The sequence below is a fragment of the Homo sapiens genome, chromosome 12 (genome assembly GCF_000001405.40).
Source record: "Homo sapiens chromosome 12, GRCh38.p14 Primary Assembly".
In the NCBI taxonomy this organism is placed as follows: domain Eukaryota; kingdom Metazoa; phylum Chordata; class Mammalia; order Primates; family Hominidae; genus Homo; species Homo sapiens.
The window spans coordinates 25,046,296-25,059,158 of record NC_000012.12 but is presented as its reverse complement, the minus strand read 5'-3'; the positions used below and the strand labels follow the sequence as shown (position 1 = coordinate 25,059,158).

At 38.6% G+C, this 12,863-nt stretch overlaps 1 protein-coding gene across 19 annotated transcripts in view, besides 2 other annotated features; it reads right to left on the bottom strand.

Moving 5' to 3' along the window:
- Positions 1–12,863, bottom strand: part of IRAG2 (inositol 1,4,5-triphosphate receptor associated 2) — a 110,761-nt gene that overhangs the window by 49,177 nt on the left and 48,721 nt on the right. For 17 of the 19 annotated variants that reach the window (NR_159368.2, NR_159369.2, NR_159367.2 and 14 more), the window contains exon 1: positions 6,203–6,453. Coding sequence is in view for 1 of the 19 variants with exons in the window: in NM_001394803.1 (NP_001381732.1) it covers positions 6,203–6,365; positions 6,810–6,924 (278 nt within the window). In the remaining 18 variants the exon portion in view is untranslated. Of the gene's footprint in view, positions 1–6,202; positions 6,454–6,809; positions 6,932–12,863 lie in introns of those variants that run through there. The other 2 variants (NM_001394803.1, NM_001366540.1) reach the window with 2 other exon arrangements.
- Positions 6,579–6,948: an enhancer, noted in NCBI's record as "active region_6114". NCBI's record gives its function as "activates an Ori minimal core promoter by ATAC-STARR-seq in GM12878 lymphoblastoid cells {active_cell/tissue: GM12878}" and the evidence as "EXISTENCE:reporter gene assay evidence [ECO:0000049][PMID:35858748]".
- Positions 6,989–7,098: an enhancer, noted in NCBI's record as "active region_6113". NCBI's record gives its function as "activates an Ori minimal core promoter by ATAC-STARR-seq in GM12878 lymphoblastoid cells {active_cell/tissue: GM12878}" and the evidence as "EXISTENCE:reporter gene assay evidence [ECO:0000049][PMID:35858748]".

Genomic DNA, 12,863 nt, shown 5'->3' with positions numbered 1-12,863 from the left:
TATCTCCAAAATACAAATTCAGAATACTATCTTACAATTGCCAATGAAGCCGTGTTTCAGAAGCGATGATGAGCTAGTATAAGATTGTCTAAATTGCCCATCTGCTTGCTCACCAGGCAATCTTGGGTTTTAGAAACAGTCTATCTTGAAGCATTCAAATTGAAAGCCTTATTTCAACAGATGTTTTGTGCAATGCATAGCAACTATTTCCATATTTTCCACATGGCAAAACAAGTTGGCTTATGACCACAATTTGCATTCACCTTTGCATTCTGCTTTACATGTTTGGAGTTGGACCTGTAATGCCTCTAGAACAAATATATGCTTCATATAGAAGGAAGTAAAACAATGGCTACTGTATCCCCTGCTGTTGCCATCTGCCATGTAGGATGGGACCAGGTGTCTTGGATACATTGCCTCTGAAGAAAGTTGAGATAAAGCAACTTTCTAAATGACTAAGCAATGAGGTCTCAGGCAAAGGCCCCACAATTAATTGCCTGTTGAAAATGAAAATTATAACATTATTAGAGCCGTTATCATGTTAGCTATCAATGATGGATGACATTTATAGAGTACGGGGCTTGTATAATACTATCTATACTGGAAAAAACCTCATGTTCTGTAAAATTGTATATTAAAAATATCAGGGTTCATTAAAGAACCCCAGACTAAGATCAACTATTCATAGCACATATCTGTCAAAGGACTTATATCCAAGAATAAAAGGACAGAAAACTTAATTTTAAAATGGGTGAAAGACTTAGACACTTCACAAAGAAGATATACAATGGCCAATCAGCACAAGAAAAAGGTCCCAACATCATTACATCTGAAAAATATATATTAAAATCACAATGAAATACCCATTTAGTAGAGTGGCTAAAATGACAAAGATTAACACTACCAAATACTGAAGATGTGGAACACTAAAACCACCCACACTGCTGGTGGGAGCGTGAAATGCTATAAAAACTACCGAAAACCATTTGACAGTTTCTTAAAAAGTGACAGTCACAGCTATGCTATGTCCTAACAGTTCTACTCCTAGATATTTATTCTAGGTGAAATAAAAACATATGTGCACACAAAGACTTGTACACAGACGTTCATAGCAGCTTTGTCCGTCGTAACCCCAAACTGCATATACTGCAGATATCCAATAACAGCAGGAAAAACAATCAAATTTTGGAATATTCATACAAGGAAATACAACTCAATAATAAAAAACTACTACTAAGAAACACAACATAATCCCATCATGCTGACAGAAAAAAGACAAACACACAAAAAAGTACATACTGTGTAACTGAGTTCTAGAACAGGCTAAGCTAACCTATCAGACCAGTGGTTGTTCCTTAGGGTGCTAGAGGTGGAGGCGGGGCATTGACTGGGAAGTTGCACAAGGGAAGTTTCTGGGGTGATAGAAATTCCGTGTTTTGATGTGTATTTATCTACCTGGTTGAATAGTATACTCGAGATCTGAACATTTTATGACATGTTAAATACATTAATAAAAAAGAAGTTAAAAGTATAAGAACAAAATAATGCAGGGATTATGAGAGAAATAGGGTTAAGAAGAAACCACTAAAAAAATACATGCAGCTGGGCAGAGTGGCTCATGCCTGTAATCCCAAAACTTTGGGAGGCTGAGGCAGGAGGATTGCTTGAGCCCAGGAGTTTGAGACCAGCCTAGGCAACACTGCAAGATCCTACCTCTACAAAAAATTTAAAAATTAGCCAGGCATAGTGGTGCTCGCCTATAGTCCTAGCTACTCAGGAGGCTGAGGCAGGAGGATCACTTGAGCCCAGGAGGTTGAGGCTACAGTGAGCCATGATCCCACCACCATAGTCCAGCCTGGGTGACAGAATGAGATCCTGTCTCAAAAAAAAAAAAAAAAAAAAAAAATCTGTCTACCTGTCTACCTACCTACCTACCTATCTGTATGTATGTGCAACACTGTAACCAGAGTACTAACAAACACACTTATTATTAGTACTAAGAAGATCACATGCATCACTCAGACATGCAACTTTAAATGCCTCACAGGATATTAGAAATACACAAAAACAAGAGAGTGGAAATGCTGGTGATGCTTTCACTAGAACAGTGGTGGTGGGGTGAAAGGCAAATGTAGATAGAGGCAGCGAGGCTAACAAGGTGAACACAGGAGGGAGTATGATTGGACACAGACCAGGGCTCTACAAGGCTGGGGTAGAGCCCTATAAAGTCCAGAGCCCTGTAGAACCCAGAGTGACTCTGGGGAGGGAGGCCCAGGTGCAGACACTTATTTTAATTTTCTCAAAATAAAGCTGAAAGGGTTCCTGTTGCCTGTTCAGCAGCCAAGCTAAGGACTTTTTCCTTTCCTGAGGAAGGTGAGAGTTCTATTCCTACCAATCCAGATCCAAGTGCCAAGAAAATCGTGAATGAAACAACATAATTTCTATACTATATAACCACAGCATTTCCCCATTTACAAATCACAAATGAGATGATTCATGTTATAGAAACGTATTCTAGCAGAACACAAATATCAACTGTGGCCAAGCATTAGCTACTATTTTGCATTTATTATGTTATTTATGTAATTCACAACAACTGCATTTAACCAAAGAGGATACTGAAGCTCAGAGAGGCAATGTGATTTGCTCAACTTTACCCAGCCACTCTTCTGTGGACTTTGAGTGAGAACACAGGTTTGTTAATTTCAAATCCCATGTTCTTAATCATTATACTATACTTCCCAGATTACTTCTCCATATCTGCATTTTTCATTTGGGAAAACTTGGGTCCCTATCCTATCAGAGTTGTTGAGCAAGCTGTATTTGGCTTTGGTTTTCTCCTTGGCCGTCACCCCAAAACCTTCTATCTTTAAGTATCTCAATCACCTGGATCCCTTCACCCGCCTTCTTTGGCTCATTTCCCTCCTGTTTACTGACTGCTTAGGACACGGCTTTCATCTTGAATCCATGCTCCAAGCCCTAAGGGTTTTACCTCTGCCATACCTCCCGCCCTCCATGCTAAGAATAGCAAGCTAAAAGAGTGTTTGCAGTGATATTATCTAGGTGAAAGTCTCCTCTAAACTAGGAAGTTCATGTGCAGATACTACGTTCAAATAAGAAATTATGCTATATCAGAGTTTCCCAGGATCTCTTTTCAAGGAAAAATTTGTGATTCTTAAAGGTAATTCTCTCATTGTCTATGAGAAGACTGACTCCATGAAGATTTCACGTCAGATGGGAACAAGAGATGGTGAATAGTAAGGGGGTGATAGTTTTGGATTGTATCAATTAGTCCATGATTTCTGTACATAAGATTCACCCTAATATGTTATATACACATCCTATAAGCTTTTAAAAATTTCCTTTTTAGATGAGTTCATGTCCTTTGTAGCGACATGGATGAAGCTGGAAACCATCATTCTGAGCAAACTATCGCAAGGACAGAAAACCAAACTCTGCATATTCTCACTCACAGGTGGGAATTGAACAATGAGAACACTTGGACACAGGACGGGGAACATCACACACTGGGGCCTGTCATGGGGTGGGGATAGGAGAGGTGTAGCATTAGGAGAAATACCTAATGTAAATGACGAGTTAATGGGTGCAGCACACCAACATGGTACATGTATACATATATAACAAACCTGCACGTTGTACACATGTACCCTAGAACATAAGTATAATAAAAAAAATTTCCTTTTTAAAGCAAACACTAATTATAATCCAGTCATGTGTCTATTAACAAGATACTTGGATATAAACAAAGTTTAGATGCAGAAGAAATAAAATATATAAGTAACCATTCAAGCAATTGAACAGTTTTCATGGCACATTTCTTGAAGAATATCATGCACATGAATTGCCTCATAAATCAGCCCAGTCCTGAAGGCAATTGAAAACTTGAACAATATCATTTATTCAAGATAAAGTTCAGGATTTCTGATCAAACATCACATATAAATTTCCAGTTGTAGTGTGAACATTATGCACATTGATCTGAACATTTGGACAAACCAGCTGCATCCCCACACAATGTGCTGATGCAACTTAGATGGATCAGAAAACAATTGTCTGAAATACTTTGTGAATTTATTAAACTAGCCAGAGAGTTTCAGAAAAGCTAAATAGATATAAATATGTTTTGTTTTCTGACTCAGAATCAGATGTCTGACTCAGAAATCAAACAGCATGGGGTGGCAGTGGTCATGGCGGGATGTGCGTGGACGTGTTTGTGTGATAACTGCAGTCATTGACATTTGTTTGCAGTCTATCTGGAACATCTGCTATATAGAACATTTTGAAAATACGTGCTATCTAAATTTCCCTCTTCTCTCAAAGATTGAATTTAAAGGGCATTGTTAGAAAGATCGTAAGTACATGGTCATATAAGCAAAATCCTGATTTGTATGGGTTTTTTGGGCAGCAAAAGATACAAGTAACAAGTAAGGGATTTCATAAATCTGGACAGGTTATGCATAACTCAAGACAGAAAGGAAGTGTCCACTCTACGTTATCCAGGCAGAAAAAAATACACGTATCAACCCAGGGCAGCTTTCATATTCTGCTTTTAAGTGTATTTGAATCTATTGGGCCGTGAAGATAAACTGGGAAGACAACAATAGCAAGTTCATAATATCAAGAACGTGCACTTTGGGGTAAGTTATTAAAGTTGACTCTTCTAAGAAAATACTGCAAGAAAATCACAGTGAGGAAGGGGAACAAATTCTTAGTAGTTTATAAAACTCAGGTATAATATTGATTTAATCAAAAGGCAAAACTGGAGCAAAAGAATAGTCCTGGGCACAGTGTCTAAAGCAGACACACCTTAAACCAACTTTGGAATGCCTTATGATTCATGTCTCAACATGAACAGTTCTAATCACAAGGGAACCTTCTCCAATGCCCTCTGAGCAGTAGTAAAATAACACACAGACTGTGTAATTTAAAGACTGCCTTACTAGCTTAACAGAGTGAATCAGAATATTGAAAACTGGCAAATTCAATAAAGGTTTAAAAATTATGACAATAATATGTTGAATAACCACTGCTATTTTAATGTTTTATTTATTTATTTGTTTGTAATTTTTGTAGAGACAGGGTTTCACCATGTTGTCCAGGCTGGTCTCAAACTCCTGGGCTCAAGCAATCTGCCCACCTCGGCCTCCCAAAATGCTGGGATTACAGGGGTGAGCCACTGTGTCCGGCAAACCATTGCTATTTTAAAACTAGACTATTTCTTAAACTCCTAAATAGCTTTCTCAGATAATAGTAGAAAGGGTACAATAAATCCAAAACAAACACAAGTCTGAAATTTTTCATCTCTAGCCTACCTTAAGCTTATATATTAAATATATAATTATTTATAATTATATAACAATTAACAAATAAACAATGTTTATTTCTCAAACCAAGTAACTTTCTATAAAAAGAATATTTATACTGCTAGAACAAGAAACTGGCTGAACAAAAGCAATTGTCTGATAAATGGCTAAATAAGTAAGGTTTATTTTTACCATATTAGGTTTCTAGAATGAAACAATTTTATAGCTAATCTGACATCTGTAATGTGACAACTGTCTTCTCACATAAATCTCTGGTAACTGTTTATATACTTTTGGGTAATACAGAAAAATGACAAATATTCCAATTTTTAAAATGCAAAATATGTATGTAGATGTATGTAGAGAATGCATTAAAACTTTAAAAGAATTTTCACACATTTGATATTTTGATATACACTGAATTCATAATTATTTTGCCCAACCCCCTAAAATTTCCAAAGAAAATAGACGAGCAAGGCCTTTTCTACCATATGAGAGGAAAAAAACTAGCTAATAAAATCAGAGTATAATATATAACAACTTGCAAGTTCAAATATACCATGCATACTAGATTTTTCTCCTTGTTTACTTTTAGAAATTTTGAGAAGTTTTAATTAATTTTAAAAGAAAAAAACAGCCACAGACAAAACCAGCTTATAATAAAAAGGCAAAAAGGGAAGTTAATGGTTAAACCCATGCATGCACCTAGCCACTCAGCAAACCTCTCTGAAAGCCCCACAATATTGCCTTCTCAAACCATTTCATTGTCATAAACTCAGGAATAATATCCTAGCTGTAATCTAGAAAAATGTCTGTAGTCCTATGCCCCGCCTGAGGGTGGACAAAAACTGGGTCATAAATGAATATTTGCTACTCACTCTTCAGTTTCCTTGTCTTCTGCTGAAGTGCCTGGCAAGTGTTCGATAATTCAGTATTTATAGTTTGAAGGTTCCGTTGTTCCGAAATTGCTTCCTCTAATTTATGCAGTAAAGACGTAGCTTTTTCACTGGCAGTGTGGGCTTCTCGATCTCGATCCTTACCCTGGACATGGATAGTTAGTGCTGGATTGTAGCAGTGTGGCCAGGAAAGAAAGCAATGGAGTGCTCACTCTTATGATGCAGGCAAAACTGAAAATGTGTTTTTCTTCTCAGGGAAGTGATAAGCCTCTCCTGAACTTCTGCAATTCTGTGTTTGCATGGGCTTGGTATGCCTGAGCTATTTCTACAGCGGTTAAAGTCCTGATATGTCAAGTTGCCTCTTTCTGCAGAGTCGCCTCTTTCATCAGCAGGCTGTTGATACCGCCTCTCTTACAACTCCCCCTTTACTTCCTCTGCTCACTGTTAGTCGCTAGGGACTGAACTTGCAGTTCCTCTTTGCTTTTTTTTTTTGTTTGTTGTTGTTGTTCCTCCTCCATTTTTATTTCATGGTTTGCAGGGCATCTGAGGAGATGTCCCCTGAATCTAATGTAGCCATGAGCCACCCTACCTGCTCCTCCACATCCTCCAGCCGTTGGCTGGTTTCTTGGAGCCTCTTCCTAAGGATGCCTTCCTGGTTGACAGCATCTTCCTGTAGTTGTTTAATGGCTTCTAGTTGTTTCTGACTGGAGTTAAAAAAAAAAAAAAAAAAAAAAGTCCAAACCGCAAGCTGTCAGTGACATTTCAACTAAGAGTCACCCTGTGAAATTATGACAAACTCAAACTTAACACCACTTCCTTAGAGATCAGAGGAAAAAGTGAAAGTATTTACATATAAATGCTTCACAAATATAAAATCTTAAGCAAAGCTTATTGGTCGCTTAGCCTGACACCCTCACTTTACAGATAAGGACTTCTAGTTTCATCTTTTACACTGGTGTGTTCAGTTCCCACCAGCTGCATTCATAGCACTTAGCATCAGTTGCCAGTTGCCAGTTACTCAGAAGATGGCTCTACAATGAGGTCAGGGTGACAGGTGCAACATTTACACATCACAGCTAGCTTTTACAGAAAAAGAAAGGAATGGGGTAAAGGTAGGGGGAGGGAAAAGAAAAGGAAAGAGAGCTTTGTTTCATGACCTTAGCCTTTCTCCTTAAGGGTTGTCAATCATAGTATAAACACGTGCCACGAGCACAGGAAGGACCGCCCCCAGGCACAGATGAAAGCTGGCGGTTGATATTTCTACTTTAGTCCTCTTTTTGCTGAAGCTTTTCTCCCCATCACCCTTCCCCACCACAGATCTCATGGTGCCATTACGTTACACCTCATTTGGATCCAATTCTAATCTCTAAAACATGTAAAAATGCACTTACTCTCTGTTAGCAGATGAGATTATTTAATGTGTGTTACATGCCAGTACCTCAATGATTATCTGGAAACAATCTGACTTGAATATGGACCTTAACTCAAAGTGGTGATAAATGTCGGGAGTTGCAAAACAGCAAGGAAGACATTGTCAGCCGTAGGCCTTGTGCATGCCTCTCAAACGTTAACATTTAGTCAGAATGCCACTGCACACTGGCACAAATCCAGCCCTGGTTACACGAAGGACCACATGAGAGGCAAGAATGGTCTCACAGAATGCTTACCATACTGGTAAACAAGCAAACAAAATCCTAAGCAAAAATAAAAACTGCCTACATCACCACACTTTCCACTGAGCGTCCTTCAATAGCTTATCGTTGTCTCTCTCACTCTCTTTTTCTCTCTTTTTCTTTAACTGTGGCAGGAACATTTAACAGGAGATTTACCCACTTAACAAATTTTTAAGTGTACAATACAGTATTATTAACTACAGGCATAATGTTGTACAGCAGATCTCTAGAACATCTTCATCTTGCATAACTGAAACTTTATACCTATTGAGTAGCAACTCCTCATTTCCCCTCCCCTAGCTCCTGGCAACCACTATTCTCTCTCTTTCTATTAGTTTAACTATTTTAGATACCTCAGAGAAGTGGGATCGTGCAGTATTTGTTGTTCTGTGACTCACTTATTTTACTTGGGATAGTGTCCTCCAGGTTTATCTATGTTGTCATATGTGGCAGAATTTCCTTCTTTTTAAAGGTTGGATAATATTCCCTTGTATTTATATACCAAATTTTCTTTATCCAATCATCCGTGGACATTCAGGTTGTTTCCAAATCTTGGCTATTGAGAATAATGCCGCAGTGAATATGGGAATGCAAATAGCTCTTCCAGGTGCTGATTTTAATTATTTTGGATAAATACCCAGAAGTGGGGTTCCTAGATCAGATGGTAGTTTAATTTTTAATATTTTGAGAAAACTCTGTAACTGTTTTTTTTTGTTTGTTTGTTTGTTTGTTTTTTTTGAGACGGAGTCTCGCTCTGTCTCCAGGCTGGAGTGCACTGGCGCGATCTCAGCTCACTGCAACCTTTGGCTCCCGGGTTGAAGCGATTCCCCTGCCTCAGCCTCCCGGGTAGCTGGGACTACAGGCACGCACCACCATGCCCGGCTAATTTTTTGTATTTTAGTAGAGACGGGGTTTCACCATGTTGGCCAGGATGGTCTCGATTTCCTGACCTCGAGATCCGCCTGTCTCGGCCTCCGAAAGTGCTGGGATTACAGGCATGAGCCACCGCACCCGGCCCTCCATAACATTTTCTATAGTGCCTGCACCACTTTCCATTCCCCCAACTGTGCACTAGGACTCCAATATCTCTACATCCTCACCAACACTTTTTTTTATTTGTTTTTTGTTTTTGTTTTTTTGAGACGGAGTCTCACTCTGTCACCCAGGCTGGATGGAGTGCAGTGGCGCAATCTCGGCTCACTGCAAGCTCCACCTCCCAAGCTAACGCCATTCTCCTGCCTCGGCCTCCCGAGTAGCTTTTTTTTTTTTTTTTTTTTTTTTTTGAGACACAGTTTCGCTGTGTTGCCCAGGTTGGAGTGCAGTGGCACAATCTTGGCTCACTGCAAGCTCCGCCTCCCGGGTTCCCACCATTCTCCTGCCTCAGCCTCCCGGGTAGCTAGGACTACAGGCGCCTGCCACTATGCCTGGCTAATTTTTTTGTATTTTTAGTAGAGACAGGGTTTCACCTTGTTAGCCAGGATGGTCTCGATCTCCTGACCTCGTGATCCGCCTCAGCCTCCCAAAGTGCTGGGATTACAGGCGTGAGCCACCGCATCCGGCCGTCTTTTAAAATAATAGCCATCCTAACAGGTATGATACAATATCTAATTATAGTCTTAACTTGCATTTTCCTAATGATTAGTTATGTTGAGTATGTTTGTACACCTGTTTGACCATTTATCGTCTTCTTTTGAGAAATGCCTATTCAAGTCTTTTGTCTATTTTTAAATCTAGTTATTTGTGTTTTTTTATTGTTGTTCTGGAGTTGTAGGGGTTTCTTATATTTTCTAAATATTAACCCCATAAGTGAAGGACCTCTTCAAGGAGAACTACAAACCACTGCTTAAGGAAATCAGAGAGGACACAAACAAATGGAAAAACATTCCATGCTCATGGATAGGAAGAATCAATATCATGAAAATAGCCATACTGCCCAAAGTAATTTATAGATTCAATGCTATTCCCATTAAACTGCCATTGGCATTCTTCACAGAATTAGAATAAACTATTTAAAAATTCATATGGAATCAAAAAAGAACCCAAATAGCCAAGACAATCCTAAGAAAAGAGAACAAAACTGGAGGCATCACGCTACCCGACTTTAAACTATACTACAAGGCTACAGTAGCCAAATAGCATGGTACTGGTACAAAAACAGATACATAGACCAATGGAACAGAATAGAGAACTCAGAAATAGGACTGTACACCAGCAACCATCTGATCTTTGACAAACCTGACAAAAACAAGCAATGGGAATAAATGGTGCTGGGAGAACTGGCTAGCTACATGCAGAAAATTGAAACTGGTCCCCTTCCTCAATCCTTATACAAAAATTAACTCAATATAGATTAAAGACTAAGTGTAAAACCCAAAACTATAAAAACCCTGGAAGAAAATCCAGGCAGTAAAATTGAGGACATAGGCACAGGCAAAGATTTCACAACAAAAGCACCAGAAGCAATTGCAACAAAAGCAAAAATTGACAAGTAGGATCTAATTAAACTAAAGAGTTTCTGCACAGCAAAATAAACTATCATCAGAGTCAACAGACAACCTAGAGAATGGGAGAACATTTTTGCAATCTATCCATTGGACAAAGGTTTAATATCCAGAGTCTGCAAGGAACTTTAACAAATTTACAAGAAAAAAAATATTACAAAGTGGTCAAGCCAGGCTCAGTGGCTCACACCTGTAATCCCAGCACTTTGGGAGGCTGAGGCGGGTGGATTGCTTGAGGTCAGGAGTTTGAGACCAGCCTGGCCAACGTGGTGAAAGCCCATCTCTACTAAAAATACAAAAATTAGCTGGGTGTGGTGGTGTGTGCCTGTAGTCCCAGCTACTCGGGAGGCTGAGGCAGAGGAATCGCTTGAACCTGGGAGGTGGAGGTTGCAGTGAGCCGAGATCGAGACCCCGCCATTGCACTCCAGCCTGAGCAACAGAGAGAGACTGTCTCAAAAAAATAAAAAAATAAAAAGTGGGCAAAGGACAGGAACAGACACTTCTCAAAATAAGACATTCACATGGCCAACAAACATGAAAAAAAGCTCAACATCACTGATCATTAGAGAAATGCAAAATCACAATAAGATACCACCTCATGCCAGCCAGAATGGCAATTATTAAAAATCCCAGAAACAACAGATGCTGGTGAGGTTGCAGAGAAAAAGGTATGCTTTTATACTGTTGGTGGGGTATAAATTAGTTCCTCCATTGTGGAAGGCAGTGTGGTAATTCCTCAAAGATCTAAATAGAGGTAGAAATACCATTTGACCCAGCAATCCCATTACTGAGTATATACCCAAGGAATATAAATCATTCTATTATAAAGATACATGCAAGCGTATGTTCATTGCAGCACTATTCATAATAGCAAAGACATGGAGTCAACCAAAATGCCCATCAGTGATAGACTGGATAACGAAAATGTGATACATGTACACCATGGAATACTACGCAGTCATAAAAAGGAACAAGGTCACGTCCTTTGCAGGGACATGGATGGAGCTGGAAGCTGTTATCCTCAGCAAACTAACACAGGAACAGAAAACCAAACGTCACATGTTCTCACTTATGAGTGGTAGCTGAATGATGAGAACACATGGACACATTGCGGGGAACACCACACACTGGAAGCCTGTCAAGCAGGTGAGGAGGGAGAGCATCAGGAAGAATAGCAAATGGATGCTGGGCTTAATACCCAGGTGATGGGTTGATCTGTGCAGCAAACCACTATGGCACACATTTACCTATGCAATAAACCTGCACATCCTGCACATGTACCCTGGAACTTAAAAGTTAAAGGAAAAAACAAAAACAAAAAAACAACAAAAAATTAACCCCTTATCAGTTTTTTAGTTTACAAATATTTTCTCCCATTCCATAGGTTGTCTTTTCATTGCATTGTATTCTTTGCTGTGCAGAAGCTTTTCAGACTGATGCAGTCCAACATGCCTATTTTGCTTTTGTTGCCTGTGCTTTTGGTGTCATATCCAAGAAATCTTGCCAAGACCAATGTTATGAAGCTTTCCCCCATGTTTTCTTCTAGGTGTTTTCAGTTTTAGGTCTTAAATTTACATCTTTAATCCATTTTTAATTGATTTTTGTTTATGGTATAAGAGTCCAATTTCATTCTTTTGTCTGTGGATGTCCAGTTATCCCTGCACCATTTGTTGAAGAGATTATCCTTTCCCTATTACATATTCTTAGTATCTATGTTGAAGATCAATTGACCATCTATGCATTGGTTTATTTCTAGGCTCTCTCTTCTGTTTCATTGGTCTATATATCTGTCTTTATGCTAATACCATACTGGTTTAATTACTGTAGCTTTGTAATATATTTTGAAATCAGGAACGGTAATGTCTCCATCTTTGTTCTTTCTTCTCAAGATTGTTTTCAGCTATTCAGGGTCCCTCATGGTTCCATAAGTTTTAGGATTTTCTTTCTATTCCTGTAAAAAAATGCGATTGGAATTTTTGTTAGGGATTGCATTGAATCTATAGATTGCTTTGGGTAGTATGGACATTTAAACAACATGATCTCTTCCAATCTATGAACGTAGGATGCCTTTTCATTTATTTGTGTCTTCTTTAATTTCTCTCATCAATATTTTGTAGTTTTTATTATATGTTTTTTACCTCTTTAAATTTATTTCAAAGTATTCTTTTTGATGCTATTGTAAATGAGATTGTTAATTTCTTTTTCAGATGGTTCAATGTTGCTCATATATAAACGAAATTTATTATGGTATGTTGATTTTGTGTCATGCAACTTTACTAAATTTTATTCTAACAGGTTTTTTTGTGAAATCATTAGAGTTTTCTATAAATAAGATCATGTTATCTGCAGAGATCATTTTACTTCTTCCTTTTATATTTATATGCCTTTTATTTTTTTTTCTTGCCTAAATGCTCTGGCTAGTACTACACTGAACAGAAGTGGTGAGAGTGAGCATCCTTGCTTTGTTGC